General features: G+C 46.0%; 1 protein-coding gene and 1 non-coding gene across 3 annotated transcripts in view, besides 3 other annotated features; both read right to left on the bottom strand.

Moving 5' to 3' along the window:
• The window catches only part of VPS13D (vacuolar protein sorting 13 homolog D), a 282018-nt gene that overhangs the window by 3706 nt on the left and 250789 nt on the right, over positions 1 to 27523 (bottom strand). For both annotated transcript variants that reach the window (NM_015378.4, NM_018156.4), the window contains 2 exons: positions 10711 to 10842; positions 1249 to 1489 (listed from right to left, as the gene is read on the bottom strand). In NM_015378.4, coding sequence (NP_056193.2) covers positions 1249 to 1489; positions 10711 to 10842 — 373 coding nt within the window. The remainder of the gene's footprint in view (positions 1 to 1248; positions 1490 to 10710; positions 10843 to 27523) is intronic.
• Positions 300 to 469: an enhancer, noted in NCBI's record as "experimental_247 CRE fragment used in MPRA reporter constructs". NCBI's record gives its function as "activates a minimal promoter by MPRAs in K562 erythroleukemia cells, with activity observed for the non-introgressed 1:12568012 variant allele {active_cell/tissue: K562}" and the evidence as "EXISTENCE:reporter gene assay evidence [ECO:0000049][PMID:34662402]".
• On the bottom strand, positions 945 to 1096 carry SNORA59A (small nucleolar RNA, H/ACA box 59A). The gene has a single exon (NR_003025.1). It is a non-coding gene; the product is annotated as a small nucleolar RNA, H/ACA box 59A (small nucleolar RNA).
• Positions 10881 to 11381: an enhancer, noted in NCBI's record as "H3K4me1 hESC enhancer chr1:12557015-12557515 (GRCh37/hg19 assembly coordinates)". NCBI's record gives its function as "activates a minimal SCP1, AML or CMV promoter by ChIP-STARR-seq in primed H9 embryonic stem cells {active_cell/tissue: H9 hESC(primed)}" and the evidence as "EXISTENCE:reporter gene assay evidence [ECO:0000049][PMID:30033119]".
• Positions 26630 to 27148: an enhancer, noted in NCBI's record as "H3K27ac-H3K4me1 hESC enhancer chr1:12541249-12541767 (GRCh37/hg19 assembly coordinates)". NCBI's record gives its function as "activates a minimal SCP1, AML or CMV promoter by ChIP-STARR-seq in primed H9 embryonic stem cells {active_cell/tissue: H9 hESC(primed)}" and the evidence as "EXISTENCE:reporter gene assay evidence [ECO:0000049][PMID:30033119]".

Raw genomic sequence — 27523 nt, 5'->3', positions numbered from 1 at the left:
GATCTGCAGAGGTAAGACCAAGAGCAAGAATGGGGGATTCACATCTAAGGTCTGGTGATGGCTGATGAAGGAAGAAGAATCAGCGAACAAAAGCCTCTAGGTCTTTCTTACCACAAACACCTCTCTGCCCACCTGCTTTGAAAGGGGCAGAAGTATAGTGGGCGAGGCTGCCCACCTGCTACAGTGAAGGGATCTGGAGAAATACTCACACTTTGAGGTGCTCGCCCTCTTCATCAGCCAGCTCTAACTTAAGCCAATGACCCCACGGGAGCCTTACACAAGTCCAAACAGGCCCAAATGCATTCATGAGCAGGGGGAGGCCAAAGGACTCCGGAGGAGAGAGGCCCAATAAGGCTGGCGCTATTTCCGATCCATAGAGAGAGCAGAGGTGGGCAGGCCCTTTTGATTAATGTATCATTCTTGAATGCAAGCTTCAAAATCCGGGTATGCCGGGTGAGAATGAGCAGGACTAACACCTGGGTGTCATGGCAAGCCTCCAGGGCCGACTGGCCAGAGACAGATCCGCAAGAGGCTCTGCAGCCAGCTCTGGTGCCAAGCCACTCGGATTTGAACCCCGGCTCCTCAAGGTCAGCTGTGTAGCCTTGAATGAATCACCTGCTATGACCAATAGTGAGGAGGGGATGACAGCAACACAGTGATCAGACAACCCACAAGACAGCCAGCCCTCTAGGAACGTTAGCTATTCGCAGGAGCTTTATTATTTAAAAGCCTTGTCATAACAATACCTTGTCCCCTTTGGAGGGAAAGTATAACTTTTATTTACAAATAATTATTGAGCATGCTAGATGCTACTAGAACAAAAGTTACGGTTTCCACTGTTAAGGAGAAACAATGGAGAAACCAGCGTGAGCTCCAGTGCTTTCTTCGATTTGGTGCACTGAAGAATCCCATTTTGGGAGCAGAAAAACCCTGTGTGTTGTGTTAGCTGTTCCTTATCACCAACGAGAGTAAGTATTGTTACCCTCACTACATCTACGGGTAACTGAGGCACAAACGTTGTGAGGCAGTTAATGTTCCCAGGGTCACCCATGGGCCAGCTGGGAGGGCAGCATCGCCCCGTGAACATACCCTGGGCCCCTCCCATGTTCAGGACTGAGAGGCAGCACTCCTGGGAAGGGCCCAGCCTCAACCTCCTAAATGAGCTCCTGCTGAGGACGGGGAAGCAGGGCAGAGGCATCGAGGCCCTGGCCCCGCCCCTCAGGAGCCTGAGAACAGCCAGGCACTCACCATGGGCTTCTGGTGGGAGGGGCCGGGGATGGACACTCCACTGCTCGTGCTCACGGCTTTCTTGGTCACCTGCACATACACCTTCCCATGGTCTTTGGAGACAAGGCAGTGGTAGAGGTCATCGTATTTGACTTCTAGGAAAATGGCTTCTCGATCCACGTAGTCTCCACTTTTCAGGAAGTAAACAGCTTTGGAGGAGATGAGCACGCAGTAGCTGTCAATGTTCTCCACAGCGATGAAGCTGCAAAGCGAGACGGGAACACAGGAGTGACACCTGGGGCTTCGCCCAGCATCAGGGGGAGGCCCACTGCGGGCTCTGTGGCCCCAGGGCCTGAGTGCGAATCCCGGCCCCCTTGCCGGGAAATACTTCTAAATCCTGAAATTCTATCTTGTGGGTGTTTGTTGTTTTTCTGTGAGCATTTTTGGATAGCTTAAAGCTTACAGAAAACTGTAACAATACTCTATTGGACAAAACAGAAAACACGATGCCTTTCAATGTGAAACTGAAGGAGCAGCTGAGAAAGTTCACTGCCTGGCAGAGGAGAGGGAAACATGAAGGGGCGAGAAGACGCAGCTGGGGGCGCTGAAAGCTGAGGGGGGAAAAGCAGAATTAAACAGGTTCACCAAATGGCACGCCATGAAGAGACAGCCTGGCGTTAAAACACCTGCACCTCCCCATCCGCTTCCTCCCTCTCTAAGCTCAGCACCTCCAGGGACAGGGCACCCCCCCATCCACTTCATGTTCAGAAAACTCAAAGAGTCAGAAAACGCTTTCTTAGGTAAAACTGTCATCTTCCTTTTGGAAACTTCTAGTTGTTACTTCAGGAGCTTTAGGGCCACTCCAACAAAACTGAATTCCTCTATCATGGAGCTCACACATTCAAAGTGGAAATTTATGCACATCAAACCTCTCTGGCCACTGAATGAAGAGCAGTGAACCTTGGGAACAGTGTGACAGTTCTCCCGGGCCTGGCTGCCTCCCCTGCATCTTGTGACAGCCCTTCACAATGGGGCTGCAGTGTCCAGGGACAGCAGACAAGGATGGACAGTGGCAGGAATACTAAAGGCTGACGACGGAGTGGCAGTCGAGCTCCTGCTGGCAAACTGAATTGCTCAGAGCCAGGCTCCACCTGGAAGTGTTCTGAAACCTGGGTCCAGAACGGCGTTGTTCCCAGGTCCTCTGAAGGGGGCAGAAGCCTGGGGGCAGGAGGTGGCCTGCCTGTCGAGGGGAGCAGGCTGCCGGGCCCTCGCTCACTTGGGGTCCGTGCAGGACGCACACCTGCTCTCCCAACTTCTCTAGATCCCATCCCCCTCCCCGCAAGGATCACAGGTTCTAACTTCTCTGTGAAGCATCCCCCACATACTCCAGCCCCTCCTCCACTTTTGAGCATTTAATTGTGATGGCCCCCAAAGCATGGCCAAGCACAAACTCATTCTTTCCACATGTCCTGGATAAGTCTCTTTGCTGACTACGAGGTGAGCCCTCTAAGTGGAGTCCATATCTCACAGCCCCGTGTCTTCCTGAGCACCCCACAGAGTTGGCCACCCCATCAGCGCTCAGTAAGTGACTGCCTTGTTCCAGTTGCCATTTTAATTACAGACGCCCATGACAAAAACTGGGATTTATTGTTCTATTCTAACTGGTTGGCAATGCCAAGAATGTGGACTTGTAAAGTCTCAATGCTGAAATTAGAAAGACCCGCAGCCTTCAGTGTTTAGGCCACTCAGCACAGACGTTCTCACATCTTGCGCTCTAACCGCATTGAGAGCGGCAGCATCACTGAACAGAGTTGAATGGAATCTGAAATAGCTGGTCCGGGGAAGAAAGGAGGGCACAGGGAAAGACAGAAAGACAGACAGAGAGGGATAAAAATGATCCTGACACAGAGAAGAGGTGACACAGCGCCAGCCAGAACTGGCGGGGATCTGAGATGAGACCCGGAAGCAGCCTACACCCCTGAGCATCGGTGGGCCTGGTGCACAGCCACTGAGGCCGTCACGGGCTCTCCAAGGAGACTCCAAAGTTGGCCACCATGATTGGGATGACAGCAGGAATGTGCATGAAAAATCCAACTGAGATGTGAGGTTCCTTCCTCTAGGTGAGCACAGCACAGGCACTTCCACCTCATTGCCCAGCCCCCAGCCCCCAGCCCCCAGCGCCACCACCCTGGGCACTTGACATAGCTGACATTTACATGTCAGCCAAGGGCTTCCCATCCGGGCAGATGCTCTCACACCCAGGCCAGAGTGGCCGACATGACTAGTGTGCTTTCCATCCTGGAACACTTCTATAGGCTTTCAAACAGACTCTTTTCCAAGATGCCCCAGATGGTTCAAGTCCTCCATCAGGCCAGAACCACTTCTGGAGGAGGGGTGACTCTGAGCTGGGACGCCCTCCGGAAAAGTAGAGAGCACAGCGAAGGAAACACAGGCCGAGCTGGCAGGAAAGCCCGGCCCGCTGGCTGACTCTGGCCGAGTCCGTTGCTTTCTTGGTAGCTCAGACTCTTTCATCTCTCTGATGGAGAGGGTAATCCCTGCCAGTTTTCTTCACAAAGTGAGCACGGAGGTCAAGGAATTCATGGCCATACAGAAAGGTAAGTGGAGGAAGGCAGTGCTGTCACTCCACACGGATCTCTGTCCTGTAAGTCCAGGACCCTGTGCATGCCCCGAAGCTGCTACTGATAATAACATATTTCTGGAAATTGTGCATGAAATGTTCTAAAGTCCTTTCAAATCAAAAGCAGATCAGAGCCAAGGGTCTGGCTGAAGAAGGAGAAGGGAGAGAGTGAGGCCACAGCTGGAACTGGGCAGTGACCCCAGGGACCAGGTGGCCACAGCTCTGTCCCCATCATCCTCCTGAGGCTTTCCTGCATCCCACAATGGCCAGGGCTTTGGGTTGCATCATCATCGTTATTATTATTAATTTTAATTTTTTCTTTTTCTTTTTTTTACAAAATCTGCCAAACACATCAAAGAATAATTAAACAGCTCCAGACCAGACCCCTTATCTAATGGAGCCTCATATCAAACTTGTCACTCTGTGAGAGAAGCAGCAAAACTCAGGGTGGTAAGAGAAGCCTGGCAAACGCGGCACGCTCCCCGCCCTCCCCTCTGCCAAGCTGCACCTTCTTCCGTTCCCTTTCCCTAAAGCCACAGGTAATTCCCCTTCCCTGGCCTAGTTCTCCCAGGCTTTCCTTTGCCTCACTTGAGGTTCCTTGAGTGCTCACACTGCTTTGTAGTCTCAACCCCAGGCTCTCCTGTCTTCACTGCCCTTAGAATCAAGCTTCCCGCAAGGCCTGCTTTTGGTCCACGAATGAGTGACTGTTGGAAAAACCTCAAGGGAAGAAGGCCACCGTGGTCTCAGGTGGCCCTGAGCAAACTCCTTCTGTTCTCTGATCTGCTATTAACTGAGAGGAAAGGGGAGCAAAAAAATGCAGCCAGAAACACACAGCATCAGATAAGCTTTATCCTTCCAATCTGAGACCTAGAGAAGTCACCTCAGTATTCAGTTGACACATTTTAGGTTGCTGTAGATACTATAATTGATTCTATTTAAAAAATAGGATTTTTATACTATTCTTAAACCTCGGTTAAAAGTTTCAACTCTTAGGGCAGAGCATGGTGGCTCCCACCTATAATCCCAGCACTTTGGGAAGCTGAGGTGGGAGGATCGCTGGAGCCCAGGAGTTTGAGACCATCCTGGGCCACATAGTGAGACCCCATCTCTATTAAAAAAAAAAAGAAGAAGAAGAAAGAAAAAAGTTTTAACTCCCCTTTAAGGAGAGAAAGAGGATACTCTGGGCTTGGGGCTCAGTGTCAGAAAGTTTCTTCTGAGAGAAGGGAAGGCTGCAGCACCAGCTTACACCCTTTTCCAAGATGACAGGTGCTAAGAGTGGGTGAATCTGCCAGGAGCCAGTGCCGCCTTAGTAGAATGCACCATCACTAATGTCATCCATAAACCATGAACCACGGGGCATTCTCAACAACAGCAGCCATGGTAGCATCAACAGCAGCCTCAGGCCTCCTCTGGGGCAGGTCACAACGTCCTCCCAAGCCACACTGCAGCCTCGCCAGGGGAGCCAGCCACCCTGATGCCAGTCGTCTCCGCCTCTCACTTTGCCCAGAGCTTCCCCATCCTGATGTGTAGAACCCCATGGGTCTACTCTGCAGGGCCACTGTGATGGTGTGAGCTAATCTACGTGCCCCACACAGAAGAGATCCGCAGTTAATGGTAGCTCTTCTGTTGAGAACAGGTGCCCAGTTACCCCAAACCTGTGGGGGATGACCCCTCCTTTCCCCACACATCCTCTCATCAGCAGATTGGAGAGAGATGTCTCTCTAGAAGGCCACATGGAAAACAGACTCATGACCAGCTTCTCTCAGGGAGAAATCTGCCAAGTAACTGTTTCAGCCACTCTACTTAATTTTCCTCCTGCTCTTTTTTTTTTTTTTCGATATTAACTCATTTATATACCTGATTCTACTCCCTCTGGAGTCATTTCAAAATCAGAAGCCTGACTCAGAGCTCCTGGAACAGGCTCCTCTACCCCTAGGCGTTACCCACCCCAGGTCCACCTATGGCCCTGACTCCATGTCTGGGCCCAGTGTCGCTCTGAGTGCCAGGCCCTCTTCAGGGGACCTCAGCTCGTCCACTGGGGAGATGCTCCTTCTCCAACCCTTGCTCTTCAGCACCCCCAGCCTCATCAACCAGACAGGCAAGGAGCCCGAAGCCACTCTCAACCCTCCTCCTCACTCAGATTCCAATTTAGCAGTTGAGGGTTCCACTGATGCTGCCTCCTAAATGCCTCTCCAATCTGTCCTCTTCTAGTCATCGTTACGGCCACTGTGTTCAGGCCTCTCCACCTTCTACCTGGACTATCCCACGGGCCTCCTAACTGGCTTCCTGCCTTCAGTCTCTCTACCTGCTGCTGTCAAGGTTTTATTTTTCATGACGAATTTTGAGTGGGATCCTCTTCCTCACAATCTCACTCCCACCTACAGGAGAGGCAAGCTCCTCGGCATGACCACTAAGGTCAGCCTTCAGCAACAGGCCTGGGAACCCACCCTTCCAGCCTCTGCTCCTTCTTTCCACACGTGCTGCTGCTACAAAAAGCTGACCCCAAATTCCCCAGACCTGCCGTGAGCTCTTCTGTCCCGTGTATCTGCCCAGCACTGTGCTCTGCCCAGGCGCCTTCTCTCCTTGGCACATTCCTCCGCCTCCTGCAAGGTCAGGCGACTCATCCAGCGCCTTCTCTGTGAAGCCTTCCCTGGCTTTCCAGTATAAATTAATCACTTCCCATCTGTGGTTCCATAATACGTTGCTCATACTTCTATTTTAACAGCAATATATGTTATAGGTTGTTGGTAATACAGTGTCTGCTTCCCCTGCTAAACTGTGAACGCACTGAGGACAGAGGAAATTTCTTACTCACCCTGGCACATAGTAGGATTCAATAAATGTATGCGTTAGTCTGTCTCAGAAAATGACACTGGCATTAGGGTAAGGCAAGAAATTTGCCAGTGCACAGGCAACTTTGGATGCTGGACACATGTTACCAGTAGGAAAGTTGAAAACTTCTCTTAGAACTCCTGATTTAGCTTTTAAAGATTTAGCAAACCTTTAACTTTATCAGAGTAGCTGAGCCATCTGCCAAATCCAAGTTTTAATTCAGAGGTGTATCAACAAATGGCCAATTCTGTAAGTGTCAACAGTTACTAGTACATTATTTCCTGGTTTAGGAAATGGAAGCTAATAAATTCTATTCCATTCCTCAGAAGGAATGAAACATATATAGTCCTTGAGACTACATATGTTACTATAAGGTTTGTATTTATAATGATATGCTATTAGAATCAATATTATATGGTGCGCTCAAAAATTTTCCTGATTGCTCTCTCTCTGTGAAATTTCTCAAGGAGACAAGATACAAAAATCGTAAACAGCATGTTTACAAAGTAGATAAGAAAAGAGACTTTTACTCTTGATTTTATTTTCTTCTATACTCTTGGATTTGCTAACCATGCATATGAGTATCTTTTTGAGACAGGGTCTCACTCTGTCACCCAGGCTGGAGTGCAGTGGCGTGATCTCAGCTCACTGCAGCCTTGACCTCCCAGGCTCAAACCATCCTCCCACCTCAGCTTCCCAAGTAGCTGGGGATAGAGGTGTGTGCCACCATGCCCGGCTAACTTTTGTATGGATGGGGTTTTGCCATGTTGCTCAGGCTGGTCTTGAACTCCCGGCCTCAAGCGATCCTCCCACTTTGGCCTCATAGCTCTTTGGGAGGCTGAGGTGGGAGGATGACTTGAGGCCAGGAGTTCGGACCAGCCTGGGCAACATGGCGAGACCTCATCTCTACAAAAAATTGAAAAGAGGAACAACTTATCTGGCTGGTGGATGCATAGGGTACTTTTATTTTTTATACTTTTCTGTATTTAAAAAATCCCATAAATGTTACTTTCTAAAACTATATTTTAAAAGTACAATTTAAATTGTCTTAATTCCAGAAAGCAGTACATTAGAGCAGCTTCGTAGGTCATGTGGGTTGCTCATGAGCATTTTTTAAAAGGCAGGAGCCACCCTACTGCTCACCAGCCTGGTGTGCACCGTTATAGGTGATGCAGTATTAGAAATAAAATAGGTACCTTAAAAAAAAGAAAATGAGTTTCTGGCTACAAATGAGACATGAGTTAGAAAGAAAAATTAATTTCACCATATAGGACAAATTTTACTTTAACATCATCTTAATCCAGATCCTGTTTCAAAACCAAAACTGAGAAAGATGGGAAGCAATGACAATTGTGCAACTTATCAGAGGAATATATGATTAATTTGAAAGTGAAGACTTTTCAGCTGGCCAGACCAGAAATCATACGTTGGTAACTATCTTTTTAATATTAATTAATTAAATAGAATGACAAAATTAAATGCAACTCGATCTGGGAGAATAAAGTTGAAGTCACCAAGGCACTGGGGACTTCGTGGGGTTTTCACTCCATCGGGAAATAATTACACAATATTTTCCAGAAGTGAAACAGTGAGCCTAACTGGAAAAAAATGTGGAAACATTTAGTCAGAACAGTAGAGCAAGGTATTAAAGATCCTTTAAAGGGGTTAACTCTGAAGGGAAATACGCAAATAATTAGGTCTTTAAACATGTTTTTAATTACAAATCTAGGATAAAAGTCAGAGGTATAATTTGGCGCTCGTGGGCTTTTCCTGAAAACTCCTTTCTTGCAGAGTGATGAGTGTAATGTTCACTCCACCGCGAAGACCCAGGCTGACAACTGAGGACACTTCAGAGGAACATGCGACACACTCCCTGATGGCTTCTTCCTTGTACACTTGGGAAGGCCGTGGTCACGTGCCTCCTTCAGCATTCATTGGCAAGATTTAACCCACAACTTGGGTGGAGACACATGGTTTTCATCTTTAAAGTCAAAATTCATTCATGCCAATATCTCTTCCTAGTTCATATGAATTTCATGAGTTTCATGAAAGCTATTTTACTGATTTCATTTCGATTCCAGTTTTTAGCTCTCTCTGGCTCTGTTTTTCAATGTGTGTATCTCACTGGGAGCAGTCCTATGTTGGCTGTACCACGCAATTTCTTCTATTGCAAACAAATTTCACAGTGACCAGAGATAGTTCGACTTGAATAGAGGTGAGTTGGGGAGGAAAGTGAAAAGAAAACATGCAATAATTTATAATCTCATTTAGCCTGTGACTAAAAAACCCCCAAATGAATGGAAAATGGACGCATGTGAACACAAATGCTGAACTGCAGCTATCTGGCTATATGTACTGGGTACCTATTAGATGCCAGGCACTGTTCTATGTGCTGAGGATTCTTTCCTGAATGGAACAGGCAAAAATCCCAGCCTCACAGGGCTGCCATTGTAGTAGACTCTGCACCACATCCTGCCAGACCTGAGAAATTTGGATGGGGGGTCTCTAGACCCCCCATCCAAAGGCTAAAAGTTCCATCTACAAAGCAATATCAAGAGCAGTCATGGTACCAAATCCCTGCCCCAAGGAATGAACTGGAGCAGTTCTGGAGTGAACTGATGGGCACTCTGGGCACTGGACTGAAACGGCAGAACCTATTAGCAACACCTGCTGTGGACAGAGTTACCCCCTCCCCGCCAATTCATATGTGGAAGCCCTAACCCCAATGTGACCATTTGGAGTAAGAAAGTAATTACAGTTAAATTAAGTCATAAGGTTGGGGCCCTGAGCTGATAGGATTAGTACCCTTATAAGAGACACCAGAGAGCTCCCCCTCTCTCTCTGCAATGTGGGGACACAGTGAGAAGAGGGCTATCTGCAAGCCAGGAAGAGAACCCCCAGCAGCAGCAGAATCAGAAGATGCCTTGATCCTGGACCTCTCAGCCTTTAGAACTGTGAGAAGACAAATTTCTGTTGCTTAAGCTGCCCAGCCTATCATATTTTATAATGGCAACCCAAGTAGACGAAACAAGAAAGTACAACTCCATCTTCAAGAGACCTTCTAATAACACCACAGGGGTCACACAAGGCACATGTAGGAAGATGCCATTCTATCCGGCAAGCAACAAATACCTTCTGGAGTTGGCTTTTGATATCCCCATTCAAATACTACCATGAAACTATGAGATGAGATCTACTTAACACTGTCCCTAACAATGACTCTGAAGACTATCCTGACAGTTGACGTCTATTTCAGACATTCCTCCACCCACCGAAAAACACCCACAGCACTCAGAATCCCCCACGCTCGCTTTACCTTAAAGGAGATGGCAAATAAGCATCAGAAGAAATTAATCTAGTATTTTGCTACTCCCAGACACAACTAACTGCTTTCTGTGGGCTGGTGGTTCTAACACCTATTCAGGTTATAGAGCACTTTCATGCTACAAGGATCTCTGCAAAATATCCTAAAATAGTGAAATACTTAACTCTACCGTGTCAACTAGGAATAATATCACTAACTGAAGATATGACAAGGTATATAAGGCTCCATATTTAAAGAGTAACGAAGCAATCTTACGAAAAATACATTTCCAAAATGTCCAACTATTAGTTGTTTGCTATTTGTTTTTCTGTTTTGTTTTGCTAGCATTCTGCGGCAAAAATGGGATATCAAACTTTAAGAAATTTTTACAGGAGAAAAACCTTAAAATTGAGAACATTTTATTCATGATCTTCTCTCTTTGAACTAACTAGAAAGAGACTGTCATTTTCTAGAAACAAAACACTAAGGCCAGGCTATGGCACACAGTTGAGAACCACTGCTTTGAGTAAAAGGCTGTTTAGCATCAGTTATATCTAAATCTAAAAAACATTTGGGGCAAGGAATTCTTTGACCAGATCTAAGGTCCAAGAGTCATGAAAATAACTCAGATCAGATGGAGACTTCTCAGGATCAAAAGAAGAGGCAACTCAGTAGACCCACAGGGCTGGTTTCCCATGCTCTAACTTACAATTCGTCCTGTATGTTGTCTGTGAGTTTGAAGAGCTGCTCCTGTCCTTCCGCCTGGCTCTCAGAATATCGGGGAAGCAGCCCCTGGGGCCCCGTGCAGCAACGCGGTTTCCGAACCCTCTGTGCTTGAGTCCTAGATGGGTAAATGGACATAAAGCCAAGAGGTTAAGTGTGCAGGTTAAAATGATTTTCCTTTCTCACTAAGACAAAAGCACTCTGTAATACGAGACATACTTTACATTTAGTGAACAGAATTAACCTACAGTACTGCCTGTGAATACACCATGAAATAGCGGTTAAAGACCCTCATTTGACTTTGAATCCTGCCTCTACCATTTTCTGGCCATGTGATCATGGATAAGTTGGTTACCTTCCTTAACCCTCAGTTTCCGTTTTCTCTCTGAAACAGGACGATGACACCTACCTTAGAGGACTGCTGTGAAGACCAAATAAAACAGTGCCCGCCAAGCCTGCTCCTGGCGGATGGTGAGCTGCCCACCAGCGGCGGCTCTCGTTCCTGCGGTTATTACTATAATAGATCCCCCTGGGCCGCACCCTCTTTTTTAGGCCTCTCTTCAGGAGAGCCATCTTTGGATTTGTGATGGGTCTGGAAGAAAATCCTGGGCACTTAGTAAGAACACACCAACCCTTGAGACTTCTTCTAAGATGAGGTCAGTTCCTTGGGCAAAGGGTGAGGGACGTGGTAATCATGCGAGGGGAAGAATGCCCCCTGGACCTGGACCTGGACCTGGACCTGGACCTGGACCTGGACCTGGCCCAGGCCACAGGCTGGGATTCTGCAGAGGCTCTAACTCGGGCCACTCAGCTGTCGGCGGCCCGGAGGAATCTGCTTTGTTATGGCTTTCAGGGTAGGCTGATGTTGTCTTTTTCCACACAGCATATACAGGGTAATTGGTAAGTACTTTCTGGTGTTTTCCTAGAAACAGGAGTGCACATTTGTCTTGGAAAGGCTGTGCATATTTCAGATGACTGATAAGAGTGCACTGGGTCTGTCCTCGGCCTTGTACTTGCTGTACTTATTATTTGTTCCTGGAGCTCACTGAAGCAAAACACTCCTCTCTAGACAGATCTAAAAGAGAGGAGAAGCCTTACACATCGAATCAGCACTTCAGAAACAGGAACTAACAGTAAGCAGCATAGAGATTTACTTACAAGGGCAGAAAGTGCCCTGGTGGGCAAGTCAGGTTGGAAATATGGACAGAAACAACCCCAGAAAATTGTCACAGGCCATGCAATGGGCCATGCACAGCTGGGATAACTGAAAAGTGCTCCCAAAGCCAGGTCAGCACTCAGTTCATCAGGCTGTGACATCTGAAGGACAGCCCCATACCTTGGTGAGGTTTAATGTGTGCTGGAAAGACAAAAATCCAGCAATAATTTTACAAAAGTTCAGTTATAAGGACGTCTTCAGTACTATTAATTGTACTCTCTAAGGGTATTACAGAGACTTTATAGAAGTTTCAATGATCTGCACTAAGGGAAAGAGTAAAAAACCCATTGTGTTTATATCACACACTCACATACCCCGCCAGTCTCAATTTTTCCTTCAAGACGCAGGCTTACAGTTGGCTACTCAGAGCCCAAATATCGATCGAAAGTGGGGAGGGCGGTAGAGGGGCCGCTGCTAACCCATCAGGAGAGAAGCTGGACGACTGCTGCCGAGAGGATGCTGGTAACCTCTGCAGGCAGCGGGGTTGGGGGAAGGAGCTTGGCGTGCCTCTCCACGTAGCAGAGCTCTGTTCTTATCTCCTTGCCTAGCAAAGCACTTGCTGTCATTCCAATAACTGCCTACACAGGCTAATAAAGTATCCTTTCCCCAGGGCAGTCCTGCTGACCTCTCTGTCAGGCTACATGGTAGAAGCCCAAAGGCTCTCCAAGAGGAATATGGCAGGGTCTGCTTCCTCATCACTTTCAACGTAAGGTTTGATTCAGACTCGTCTCAACATATCTTCCCCAATCAACTGGGAGGCCTGCAGGCTCAAATTCAATATATATCCCAAATCTGACTATTTCTCCATCTCGATCATAACTAACAAAGGATCCCTGGATTTGTAATATATTATTACAGTAGTCTCATAATTTGTTCTCTTTCCTTCCATCCTTGTCCACTCTCCTCATGGCAATGAGAATGGCCCTTTCAAAAGATGTTACATCGGCCGGGCGCAGTGGCTCACGCCTGTAATCCCAGCACTTTGGGAGGCCGAGGCGGATGGATCACAGGGTCAGGAGATCAAGATCATCCTGGCTAACACGGTGAAACTAAAAATACTACTAAAAATACAAAAAATTAGCTGGGGTGGGCGGGGGAGTGGCGGGCGCCTGTAGTCCCAGCTATTCAGGAGGCTGAGGCAGGAGAATGGCATGAACCTGGGAGGCGGAGCTTGCAGTGAGCCGAGATCCTGCCACTGCACTCCAGCCTGGGCGACAGAGCAAGACTCTGTCTCAAAAAAAAAAAAAAAAAAGGTAAGTTACATCAAGTCAGTCATCTGCTCAAAGCACATTTGCTTTCCATCCCAGGTGGATAAACATGTTATTTACTGCTTGGCTCCCATGTGGACTGGAAGCTCCAGGAGAGGGGGAATTTGTTTCATTCACTGCATTCCTGGGATGGAGAACAGTGTCTGGTTTATGGTAGAGCAGCAGTCAGGATAAGCCGAATAAACGAGTGAGTGCCTGGTGGCTGGCAGACGGTATAAGGGCCATTAATTGAGCTAAACAGGAAGGCCAGTATGCAAGCTTTGGTGGAGAGTTTGAAGACTAAGGATTTTGAGCCCTGAAAGCAAAATCAACATTGAGGCAAAATATGAAGCAGCTAGAACCCCATCTTCCTGACAGAAAGGACAAGGCTGTCTCTGTCTGCCCCACTGATCAAAACACAGAAAGGGACATGACGGCAGTGTCCTGAAGCGGACACTGATGACAGGCCTTTCCCTTACATGAAGCAGGATTTTCATTAGTACTCAAAGCTGAGGGAAAACATGCTACCAGGCAGGAGAAAACTTGCTGAAGTCCTAAATGCCTCTGGTGGATCCGAGGAAGCCAGAGAAGCCAACGAAAGATGGCTTGTTTCTGGACCCGAGCTCTTAAAAATTTAATCTCATGACAGCTCCAGAATAGTTGAGAATGGGAGTAAAGGGCTCACCTTGTTGATCTTCTCACACGATCAAACAGCTTTCTAGTGTAAACAGTTATTTCCTGACTCAGTGGACTCCCTCAGAGCCTTACCCAGGTTTCAGTGATCCAACCTCACCCCCACTCCCAATACATTATTTTTTAACCTGTAAACTGCAAACCCACCAAAACATCAGAGAATACAAAAGCAGAGTGGCTCCCCTGAGGATACACACTGACTATCATTATGTTTCTTTTCTTGACTGTCTTCACAACAGGCCACAAACTATCTTCCCATTTCCAGGGTTCTTGACTTTTGATCAAATAATATCAAGGGCAAGGTTGGATTCAGTGCTCAACACTGCTGACTAGGGGAGCTCACTGTGGCATTCAAGGCTAATTTTTCACATCAACATGGAAGAAAAGACAGATGAGTTCAATTTTACCCTAAAAGGAAACATCTTCTGTTACAGTCTTATGAATACAAGGACTTCCAGAAGGCATACTCTTCCTAGAAGCAGAAAGCTGGATTAAAGGAATTTTCCCCCCACTCCTGTATCACCTCATCAATGTCAGTGCCTGAAAAACTCTTCTTTCTTCTCTAAAACTCAACTAAAAATTTACCTTCTCAGGTCCAAGTTGGTAGGCTGTGGGTAGGGGGAGAGTATTTGAAGTCACTGCATATGAACAAATTTAGTTCCAATCTTAAAGAATTACTAAAATAATGTAAAAAGCTAACAGTAAGCTAGTGTTTTCAAACCTCGTAAGCCAGCAAAAAGTTTAAAGTGAAGTTCTTCAGCCCAGGCCACTGTGTGACGACGCTGTTTTCTTCATCTGTTGATGTGACACTGTACGTTCAAGTAGGCCTTTTAAACGAGTATGACCATGTAACAGCAGTCCTACATTTGTTCATGCTCAGTGACAGTGTGTCCATTTTTAAGTGACTTTCCTGTATGTTCCAGTAAGCCTATGAGCACCTGGAGGGAAAGGACTCTAGTCTTTTTTTTTTTTTTTTTTTGAGATGGAGTCTCGCTCTGTCACCCAGGCTGGAGTGCAATGGTGCAATCTTGGCTCACTGCAAGCTCTGCCTCCCAGGTTCATGCCATTCTCCTGCCTCAGCCTCCCGAGTAGCTGGGATTAGAGGCGCCCGCCACCATGCCCAGCTAATTTTTTTATATTTTTATTAGAGACGGGGTTTCACCGTGTTAGCCACGATGGTCTCCTGACCTCGTGATCCACCCGCCTCGGCCTCCCAAAGTGCTGGCATTACAGGCGTGAGCCACCGCACCCGGCCAGTCCTTTTTTTTTTTTTTTTTTAATAACTGGTCTTTAGGACTGGGCTTATTATCCTCAGTTCAAGGCCCACTCTCATCATTGGGCTCTCTTTATTTATTTGAAATAAACATCTGTGAAAGCAAAAAAAAAAAAACTCCATCACTCAATCGTGGACCACAAGTTGGTCTTCTGCCACCCCAAATCCCTGTTCCTCCTTTAACTAAGGCAGCCGCTGTTCTGAATCTTGTGTTTCTCATTCCTGTGCTTTTCTTTTTTATGTAGCCTTACCACATTTCAAAGGATGCTCCAGTACATTCTTGTTATGTTCTTTGGGTTTAGTTTTGGGCTTTTGAAAAAGGATGTCGCTGTCACATTGCTAAGATTCAGGTATTCTTTTGTGTGTAGCCATGATTAATTCACCATGTCTCTGCTTTGTTCATATTCCATTGTATGACTATCCCATGATATATCCATCTTCCTGTTGATGGCACATGGGTTTCTTCCAGGTTCTGCTATTACAAATGATGCTATTATGAACATTCCTGTACGTGTTTCCTGGTGAACTTTGAGAATCTATCTAGGGGGAATTTGCTGGCTCACAAGATATAAACGTTCACTTAACAAGATAATCCAAACTGCGTTCGAAGTGGCTGAACCATTTTTACATTCCTGCCAATGAGGCATTTAAGGGGCCCTAGCGATCTATATCCAACACTTGGTATTGTCTAGGACAGCACTGTCCAATACATAGCTACTGACCACGTGTGGCTACTGAGCATGTGAAATGTGGCCAGTGTAACTAAAGGACTGAATTTTAAATTTAAATTGTATTTTGGATAGCACTGGTCTAGACTCTTGAATCTTTGCTGCTTGAATGGATATTAAATGTCTTCTTATTGTTTTTTCATTCCCATCTTCTCCTTTCAGCCTATAGCCTACAGCATAGTGGTACCCAATAAATACATAAATTAATAAATTTAAAAAAGTGGAGTAGCTGCAGATCCTGCCATTGGTGCTACAGCAGCAGATCAACGTCTAAACGACTCAGGCCCACCACTGTTAGGCCTGCGGCCTCCCTGGTGGCTTTGTTCCTTTCCTCTGACCACCTTTGCTGCTACTTGGGCAGGGTCTTGATACAATAATTCTGGGGACAATGGATCACCGAACAAGAGGTGGCCAAAATCCACCCACTCACCTCTCCTTAGTCGACAGCATCTCTTATGAACCAACACTCAACCTAGGAGTCTGTTCAGCGCACATGCAGCAACTCTGCCTCCACAAACCTTTGTTTGGCCAAAGGTCTGCGGTATATTTAATTGCTGCCAGCTGGAGCTTGTCGGCCATGTTAAGCCCTCAGCTGCTGCGGTTTACAAATTTCACAGTGTATAGAAAGAAGCAGTCCTTCCAGTCAACCAGCTAATCCAGAATGTCAGCACCAAACCAACTTGAGCTTTGAACTCTATGAAAATGTCAGGGAGTCTGCTGTACAGCATGGAGGACTCTTCCCCCAGGGAAGGGGCTGTGGATACAGTGGCTGATACACTGCAGATATCCTTCCAGTGAGGGCAATCAATACAGAGTGTGCCTGCATCTGGCCATTGCTATCTGATATACACCGGAGGCCCAAAACCAATGATCAGAGTAGTAACAACTCATGTCTTTTAAAAAAAAAATCAACAGTAAATCCAAACAAGGTGACACAGGGAGATCCAGCCAATTCCACTTGGTTGATCTTGCCTTTCAGCCTGAAAGTCAACATTTAGCCAGGCATTAATTATTCGTAGCTTATACGATGAGTAACTATGTCATAGGTCTGTTAGTTAAGACAGATGCTGTGCACACATACACATACCCCTACACAGCTTAATTTGGTTGAGAAGTCTGTCATGGCCAATGTCTATCAGCCAAGTGATGTTCAAAAACAATCAGTAAGTGAGTAGAAAGTGTATGTCACACATGTGACGTTAGCATCATAGAATGTTTATTCAACTGATGGCTGCCATCTTCCTTAAGGGTTGTGTGATGGGTTGTGCTTGCATTCACTTTATGTATGTGTCCAGGGCTTTTGTTTTAATCAAGTATCTTACTGATATATACTGTGCTCGAGTGTGCACAATTAGACTGAGAACGAAGGTCAATCCAGACTACCTCTTCCAATACTGGTCACTGATAACAGCTACAAGATACCAGGGTTCTTGACCAAATGGCCTAATCAAACATTTGTCATTTCTCTAAGAGAAACCCCGCAGTCTGTCTAAATAGTACTGTCTGCAGTAGAGTAGACGAATTGGTGAAAAACCCTCTGGTATCCACAGCAGTACAATGTCTGCAAGCCCAAGAAGCCCACCATGCCGTGGGCTGCATCTGTCTTGGACCTGTAGCTCCCACCATGCCATGGGCTGCATCTGTCTTGGACCTGTAGCTCCCACCATGCCGTGGGCTGCATCTATCTCGGACCTGTAGCTCCCACCATGCCGTGGGCTTCATCTATCTTGGACCTGTAGCTCCCACCAGGCCGTGGGCTGCATCTATCTCAGACCTGTAGCTCCCACCATGCCATGGGCTGCATCTATCTCAGATCTGTAGCTCCCACCATGCTGTGGGCTGCATCTATCTCGGACCTGTAGCTCCCATCATGCCATAGGCTGCAACTACCTCTGACGTGTAGCTCCCTCCTCTTGGCCACATGCATCTACTTCTAAAGACGAAGTGGAAAAGCATTTCTTCTCCATAAACAGATTTTACTCCTTTCAGTGCAAACTGTAATCAGAGAAGACTCTATTAGAGGATGAAAATTTCTAAAGTTTGCCTCTGTTTACATGAGAAATTCTTCCCCAAGGTTTCAAGAGAAAGAGAAATACACCTTCTAGAACCCACTCAAAGATAGTATTCAATCCGTAGGTTGGGACAATTTGGATTTTGGACACATGGAAAATAGGTTGGGCAGAAAGAAACCCTATGCTAGTAGAGATTGGTTCTTAAATGGAATTACTGACTAAGGATCCAAACTAGGGTAGCCAGAAAAACGAGCCTACTTAGAGCCCTGCAAATGGTTTGTGCCTGCCTCCTCCAGTCCCCTATTCAACCAACCTTTCCCAAACTATCATATGCAGAGGCCAGCACTAGGTCCTGAAGAAGACTGGGATGAATTAAGTATCCAGGGAGCTTACAGCAATTCAGTGGAGGAGATGAACAGAAATGGCAACAAGAACACAGCAGGGAAGCAGTAGGAGAGACAGGGAGCACTAGAGTAGGCAGCATAATATAATGGCTGAGAGGATCGGCTCTGGAGCCAGCCTGCCCAGTGGGTTTGAATCCCAGCTCCACCACTTACGAACTGTAACCACAGGCAAATTATGTGACTTCTTGGAGCGATGGTTTTCTCATCTATAAAGTGGGGGTAATGATGGGTTGTTGTGAGGAGTAGATAAGTCAATACATGTACAGTGCTTAGAACAGAGTCTAGCACATAATAGGCACTCGATAAAATGCTACCTATTCTTTTTATTAGTGTATTATTTAGAGTGCCATGGGTGCACACGAGGAACCCTAGTTGAGGTGTCTGGGATCTAAGATGGGCTAGGGTGTAACATCCAACCTCTTGTACTTAGTTTTCCTACTGGGGAGGCTCACTGCTTCAAACTGAAGTATTTTCCTTTCCCCTTTGCTTTCTTGTTAACATTCTACTTACCTCTCCCTAGAGTTCTCAAGTCATACATGCATAACACACATAAAATCCCATGTTGTACTATTGCCATTGAAAATGTAAGAAAGATGTTGATTCAAGAAATCATTAGAAATTATATTGATATTGTTAAGTTTTTAGCAATTTGACATCCAGCAGCAGGGATGACATTTCCTGGGCTGGGTTTTCTCCCATCAGTGGGATTCACACCTGACTTGTTTATAGGGGTCAAGGCTTCCCATAATTTAACACATGTTTTGGGGACCCCATGACACTGCAACTGTGACAGCTGGTAGGACTAATGCCAACAGATACACCTATTGGGATTTAAACTCTAAGACAAAAATACTCCAGATTTTTTTTCTTAGTCAACTGCCTCAGGGGCGAGACTACCTGTTAATGGCTGGGTGGGGAGGGGCAGAGTTACTTTATAAAGAATTCCAAGAAAATAGATCATGTTATAGTAAGAATGGAGCCTAAAAGGCTTGGATTTCTTTAAAGGCCATAATTTTTGCATGCATTCTGGGTTTGCTTTGCTTTTACAAAATAGTAGACAACCTATAAAGTGGTTTGCAACTTTCAACATCATGGAAGAACAAGGCGCTTTACAATTGTAAGCTTTCTTTGTGTTCTAAGTAGAACATTCTGAGTCAGAGAGTGTAGTGCTTATTGGAATCTCTCAAGCCATTATCAAATTCCTTGCTAACCTGTCACCTCTAATGCCAATCCCAAGATATTTCACAAGGACCGAAATACACCATCTCTGGTAAGCTTTATTTTGTGGCTATTAAGTACGCATGCTAATAATAACAAGCTGATTACATTAATAAACCATACATTTTCACTACTTTTTTTTTTTTTTTTTTTTTTTGGTTCAAATGATTTTCCTGCCTTAGCCTCTGAAAGTGCTGGGATTGCAGGTGTGGGCCACCGTGTCCAGCCCAATATTTTCAGATTTATTTCTGGCAAATGATTATATAATCTTTTTCTTTCAATGTTTATATATTATCTACCTTCTCCCAAAGTTGACCTCTTTTAAGAGAAGAGATGAAATTTAAGAACAAAGTAGTATAAAGGAACAAACATAGACTGGAAAAAGACAAACACAGGCTGAAATCCCAGTCACTTATTAGCTGGGTGACACTGAAGAAGTTACTAGATTGTTCTTAGCCTCAGATTCCTCATCAATAGGTGAGAACTTAATACCTACTTGGTTGATAATGTTGAGATAAAATATGAAGAATGTGTAGCATAGTGCCTGGCACATAGTAGGTACTTGTAAAAGTTAATCATCTCCCTCTTTCCTACCTTTATTCAGAATTATTGGGTGTCAAGTCCATTGAAAATACCAAAATGCGAAAGTGCAGTATTTAAAATTGTATCTGGACGGAGCACCCTGGGGGACAAGTTCTCCTGGACCTGTCTGAATGACTCCTGAGGAGCACACCCCATGTGGGTACAGAGGTGTTTTCTGAAGAAAGGAGTGCTTAAAACGTTTTCACTCACCTGACCCACTCCCATCCATATCCTGTTGCCTGACAGAGCTTTTTAAAACGAGCTAGAGCAAATCAAACTAGCAGCTCAATGAATTACACCAGATATCAAATTCTCATAATTGAAATTAATGAAGTTTTAGAAAAGTGCCATTAATAAAACTCACAGCAGGCGCTTTCAAAAAAAAATTTCAGGGGTAAAACACTTTCTGCAAATGAAGTTTGTAACACAATCTTAGTACGTACAACCGCTGACAATGAAGCTGCCTTGACTGAAGTGGGGGAGGCGTGTGTCCTAACTGTCACCTCTCCCCTGGGAAGCCCTGAAGCCCCCTCCCCCAGGGCCTCTTTCAGTGACCAAAGCCAAGCAGATATGAGGATGCTCCAGCCCCCAGAGGGGACCTGCTTTGTGATTTGTTTGCTTTTTTTTTTTTTTTGAGATGGAATCTCGCTCTGTCGCCCAGGCTGCAGTGTAGTGGTGTGATCTCGGCTCACTGCAACCTCCACCTCCTGGGTTCAAGCAATTCTCCTGCCTCAGCCTCCCAAGTAGCTGGGATTACAGGTATACGGCACCATGCCCGGCTAATTTTTTTGTATTTTTAGTAGAGACGGGGTTTCACCATATTGGCCAGGCTGGTCTCGAACTCCTGACCTTGTGATCCGCCCACCTCGGCCTCCCAAAGTGCTGGGGATTACAGGCGTGAGCCACCGTGCCTGACCCGATTTGTTTGCTTTTTCAAGACCGCCTGTTCACTCAGCCTGGAGGTTTTAAATCTCCTTCTACTATCAAACAGAGACTATGGAGGAGGGTGAGGAGGAAAAGAAAGGGGCAACAGGAGCAGATGCTTCAAAAAGTGCTAGGGACACGGAAATTAAGAACTCAGGAGAATGAAAACCTATGCAGTCACCACACTCATGGGTTTTTAAAGAGAATCTGTTTCAGGCCCTGCAGTTAGACTTCAGGTGGTAGAGGGAGAAACTGAGGCTCTTGGGAGGGTCTCAGGGGAGCCAGTGACATGCTCTCCTTCCAGTCACTCATCTCTTCCAGGGAGGGTGATTCTTCTGAACCCAAGCCATGGCCTGGAAACGTAGGTGTTGAGGGAAGCCATGCGGAACCAGGGATTCTTGTCTCTTCTATGCATGGTCGCACCTCAGCGCTCAGAACGGTGCTGTGTGCTGAGAGGGTGCTCAAGACATGTGATAAAGGGGCAGACCAGGGCCACAAGACTGAGGACTGGGTGCAGGGGAGCCAGACGTGCTGCTTCCGAAGCCCAGAGGGTGAAGAAGCGGCAGTCCGCAGTGGAACTCCTCCTCTGAATCTGAGCCAGAGAAAGGCAGGGCGTTGGTAACAACTCAAGAACTCAAGAACCCCTGGAGTACAGGAATGCTGATCATTCCAACGTGGGGGGGACACTAGAAAGTTACCGACCTGGGTCACGTTCACCCAGAGGGCAACTGGAGAGCTGCCTGGTGGCCTCCGGGGAACGTGCACCGTCTGCACTTTTCCAGGAAGGAAAAGAACAGTGGGGCTTGGAACCCTGGCCGCTCCTCAGGGGCCTGGCTCCCTGTAGACAGTTGACACTCAGCACTTAAACAGCTCAGAACCATCTGACCAAGGGATCAGGTCACGGCACTAGCTCACATTCCCCAGGAGAACTCTCTTCAAATGATTTTTACAACACGGCTCTCATTATTTTGGACCCAAGTTTTAAGTTCTTTAGAACTAGACACAGGAAAGAAGCAACCAATCACCCACTCCTCCTCATCTTCCTCCCGACCAGCTGGTGCTTTTCATTGTTTGCCCTTAAATGTAACCTATGGCTGAGCTTTCTCAGAAGCCAGGGCCACCTCTAGCCAGATGTGCCCCTCTAGAAGCAAGAGATGGTACCTTCTCCTTGAACTTGTGTCAAACTGGCCTGGCTCATCATTCCAATGCCCTCAAGAGTATCTTGGATTTTTGGGCAAAGGAAGAGATTTCTTTTTTCCGCCTCTTGCCATAGCGCCTGGGTGTAAAGCCACAGCAGGCATGAGGCAAGAATATCCACATGTCTGAGTGGGGACTGGGTTCAATGGTGCCTTTCTCTGTGGACAGGAAGGAGGCAGGACACGAGCTGGCAGCTTGGTGGTACCCTTCAGTGCCTCTACAAGGGGTACATTTCTGCCTGGTGCTGCGACGGTCAACCTGGTAACAAAAGATTATTCTTTATTTGGTGATAAGGAGGTCAAGCTGCCTTTTAATTAAGTGCCCCCAGTGTTAACATGAATTGGACTGATTGTCATAGTCCATCAACCCTTGGCAAACTGGTTTGTTTGGTCTGGACAGCAAACAACATTCCACACTACTGGATTTTTTCTCCCAGATCCCCTGCGGGCCCACCCCCCCAACAACCTTTTTAAAAATTACAATCTGTTCTGATGTCTCAAGTTACATTCTGTAAATAATAAGCAACACTGATGAAATGCAAAAAGCTGAAAATTTGTAAAGCAGAAAGATCTGTAGTATGTCCCACATCTGTGTCACATTAAACATGCACTCAACGGATTTGCTGATTCCTGCCTAATCAGTACACAGGGTGATGCGGGCCAGAAGGGCTCTTGTGCCATATGACACGGCAGGGCCAAGGGCCACCAAATGCAGGCAAGGAGGGCCAGGAGCTGGCAACCTAAGGTACAGATGCCAAGACCACCGTGCAGACAACCCTGGGCTGGCCATCCTGCCTGTTTCAGTTTGCGTGCATTGCAAGCTGGTGGGTCACTGCTGCGGTCAGGTCAGGAGAGAACAGCCGCTCAGAACCCTCTTCACAGTCCTCAATGTTGCTGAAGCCGGGCCCATGCGGTTAAACTAAATAACATGTTTTAATGACAAAATGTCTCATTTGAAAGAGTTGGCTCCCCATACATTTAAATGACTACGAAAATAAAAATAGAATTGAAGTAAACCAGTTAAAGTCCATTTGGTTAAATGTTTAGAGGATACTAGAGGTGAGAGTTGCTATGCCATGCCAGACAAAATTTGATCCATCTTTTTTTATCCCAAGCATTTTACATACACAAAGACACACACACACACACGTGTGTGTACACGTGCACATGCACTCATATTCCCACTTTTAAAAAATTGGCAGAACATAAGAGACGAACTGGCAAGTTTGAAACCTGTGGCATCACACTGAGTCCTTGAATGATTATGAGGCTCCATATTAGAAAAAAAAAAAGATTCGGATTCAACAAAAAGGAGCATGTAACCCTCCGAGGACACTCCGTAAAAACACTCTGTGCTATCAACACCTCCTCAACCAGCTTTTATCTGTACTTTCCCACCAATCTTAGGTCAGAAGAAACCAGGATTGAGACTGCTGGGCCACCAAGGTCCACGCTATGTCTCTACAGCTGCACTGACTGAGTGCTGAATGTGTACTGGACACTCCGAGCCTCCCAAGATTCACATAAGGAAGTATCTTACTAGTATTTCATTTTATGGATGAGGAAGCTATGCCTGGCAAAGCCAAACTAGATCTTGGGTCTTTCTGACTCTCTTGATGTACTTGGTCAACTTACTGAATGGTGTGATTTTAATGAAAATCTCTTTAATAGGTACTCTGAGTCCATCACTATGTGAGGTATTCTGAACATCCTTGAGGAATACCAAAAAAGGCAATAACAACAAACTCACAATCCAATTGGGAGGATAAGATCTACATCCTTGAAGTGACTCTGTAGGAAACCTAGCCCATGTATCAACAATGAAAGAGTGAAGGAGGTAAGTGGGAGCGCTGGGGTGGTCCGGCACTATATGCTACAGAGGGTAGGACGGGCTTCCTGGGAAGGCCTGGCCCAAGCAGGTCCCTGCCTCCAGGCACAGCAGGATTTTTACTAATACAAGGATGTACAGCATCAGTACCAACTGGTCACGTTTTACAACAGGAACTGGTGGAAAGAAATACTAAGAAATAGGAGGAAACAAAAATAAAAACCATGTAATAGGCCACGCCACATATAATCCAAAAACATCTGGCTGAAGCCTCATTCTTATTTTTATTTTTTTTTTTTTGAGAGGGAGTCCCACTCTGTTGCCCAGCTGGAGTGCAGTGGCACCATCTCGGCTCACTGCAACCTCCACATCCCGGGTTCAAGTGATTCTCCTGCCTCAGCCTCCTGAGTAGCTGGGATTACAGGGGTGCGCCACCACACCCAGGTAATTTTTGTATTTTTAGTAGAGACGGGGTTTCACCATGTTGGTCAGGCTGGTCTCGAACTCCTGACCTCGTGATCCGCCCACCTCGGCCTCCCAAAGTGCTGGGATTACAGGCGTGAGCCACCGTGCCTGGCTGAAGCCTCATTCTTAATGCCAAAGCGATTCCTAAAGAACTGTAGGCACAGTGATGGTCTTTTATAAAGTCATGATGCAGATTCTAACTTACAGGAACGGAATTCACCAAGAGACTGATATAAACTTTGTTAATATCTGGAAGAAAGATATGTACTTACATGGATGACAAACTGGCTAAATGACAACTGTTGGAAGGGTTAGACCAACACTAGATAAGAATTAAAAAAAAACCACACACTAAAAAGACAAATTCTGACCTTAACGGGTTTAAAAAGATTGAAGCAAAGAATACGCAATGTAATTCACAAAAGAAGAAAAATCCAAATGGCCAACTGAAACACGAAAAGATGTTTCAACGCTTCTAATTCTCAAAGAAATGCAAGTAGTAACACAGATACTCACTCTTTCAGATTGGCAAAGACTTAAAAGAGTAACAATGCCTGGTTCTGAGTACAGTATCTGGCACACTGCAGCTACTTCATGTAATTCTTGACTGAATTCTGAATGAATGAATAGCCAGAGCTGGTACACGGCTGGAGGAGTCAGTCCTCTCACACACTGTGGGTGGGAGTACAAATTGTTTCAACTCCCTAGAAGGCAATTCACAATGTGTTTCAAAGCAGAAAATATACACACCCTTAAATCCAGCAATCATAGTTTTAGGACTTTAGCCTAAGGAGAGAATTATTCAAGTAAGATGGGATATATGTAGAGGATGCTTACAACAGCAACAAATTAAAAACATCCATCAATGGGGAACTAGTTAAGTAGCTTATGGAATATTTGTATTATAATATTATGTAAATGTTAAAAATGATTTTTGGAATGGAAAGACGTTCTAGCACCATTGTGGAGTGAAAAAGATTAGACATCAACATATGTACTCCCATTCATGTCAAATCATATATATATACTAGTATATATATATGTATACTATGTATACATATATGTATACTATGTATACATATATGTATACTAGTGTATATACACATATATACCCATAGAGATGTCTGGTGGGGTTACCATTATTAATCTCTTTGCTTGTCAATGCCCAGGGAGAATAAGTCCTTTTTATTTTCTTCTTTGAAGTGGGAATAATAGTACCCATCACATTCGTTTTGTAAGGATTAAAGAGATAATTCATGCAAGGCCTCTGGAGCAGTGTCCATACACTCTAAGAAATCATATATTGTATGTATTTTCAGAAGTTTACATTTGTACATTCTTTAACTTACATAATCAAACTATGTTTTAAAAAAGATGATACAGAGAGCATTCAGGCACAAATGCCAAAATGTCTAATATGCATTTAAAATCAAAGCATGAAGAGTGCAAATTTCTACCATCATATACCGCATACAGCACAGGCTGGGTGCAGACTAAGAAAGAAGGCGTCAGAATGGCCAGGCTTAGTCAGGAATGGCTTTCTTCTGGATAAGGGGAGGCTGGGTGGAGTTTCTCAAGAGTAAAGGGCCATCAGTTGACCATTACTATCTATGCCTCGTCTCCCAAGATTGGGAGGCAAAGCCCTGTACTATCCTAGCTGGTGGTGAACAGGGCCGTGAAAGTTGCTTTGTTAACCCAAGGGTCATCTGCAGGTCTCCTTCCTAGCCTGCCTGACTTACTTCTCCAGCACGGTCTTGCTTTCTGACCCTGAACAGCAGGAAGGCGGGCTTCTCTTGCTTGCAGTAACCAGCCAGCTTGGAGCAGCATGCCTCTAACCGAGGAACAGGAAGGGCTGGCTGGTCCCAAATGGACCCAGGTGCTCAGCACTCTCCCTAAAGTGCCATGAAGCAAGACACAGTTTGCAGACAGGGGTACTCAATGAATGGGCAAAAGCTCTCTGCCTCCTTGCTTGCCCGAAATTCCCTTCTGGCCAATATAGGGAGAGAGAACATCTGGAACTGGTTTTGAGGCTCCCCAGCTGCAGAGTCACTAGAGTGAAGGGGTTTACAGACTGTCCTTTCTGATTCTCATCAGGGTGAACTACAGCCTAGAAGACAAGCTGGTTCAGAGACCAAATCAACTTTGCTTTGAAATGTTCTCCTTTCCCCATCCCCCTTGAAAGCAGAATTAATGATCCAGGTGGTGGGAAATCAAAAAATAAAAGAGAAGGACTTGGGGTCACCTCAGGTGCATTTCTGTGCCTTCATAAAAATCAGATACACCCCTTGGGTCAGAGTTGACACCAAACCTTCAGAGCACTTGTCCTTCTAGGAAACAAGAACCAACAACACTGAATCCATTTGAACTCCTGGACTGTAGGTCTTGCCTCTACAAGCCTGGAAATCGATATATATAAAATGTGTTAGAACTTGGTGGAAGCCAGTGGGGAAAGAGGCTAGGCCCTTTCAGGTCAGGGAAGGGGTTGGGCACGGAGGGGAAAGACCCATCTGGTGACAGCTACGGCTCACACTACACTATGTGCCTTTTCTACTTGGCCCCGTTGGGTACTGGGATGCAGACTTGCAAGCAGGACAAACTGATCAGCAGCAGGCCCTGGGCCCCTGCCTGGGCCTCCCCGTGCCTCTGGGAAAAGCAGGTGCAGCCAGGAGTCGGCCAATGCAGAGGCAACAGCACCACTTCCTGTCATGCTTCTCTGAGCAACACAAAGCCTGTGCTCTAGACTTTCCTCCAACTGAGGGTTTGTTTCTCCCTCTGGACCTGGGGGCAAAAGGCAGACAGAGAGGGCAGGTGCCTGTGTCTTCCAAAGACCAAGTTCCTTGGGGTGGAGAGAAGCAAGCAGGCCTAGGGCAAACTTGAAGTTGACAAAGGAGAGTGAGTCACACAGAAGGCAGGAAATGAGTCTTCAGTTACTGCTCTTCATTGCTCCCTTTCCAAAGGATTGCTCAGATCCAAGAAGCTGAGACCAGACTTCCTTCTGCATGTTACATAAAGC

The sequence above is a fragment of the Homo sapiens genome, chromosome 1 (assembly GCF_000001405.40).
Source record: "Homo sapiens chromosome 1, GRCh38.p14 Primary Assembly".
NCBI classification, from domain to species: Eukaryota; Metazoa; Chordata; class Mammalia; order Primates; family Hominidae; genus Homo; species Homo sapiens.
The sequence above is the reverse complement of the archived record's forward strand: the minus strand, read 5'-3'. Positions and strand labels throughout refer to the sequence as shown.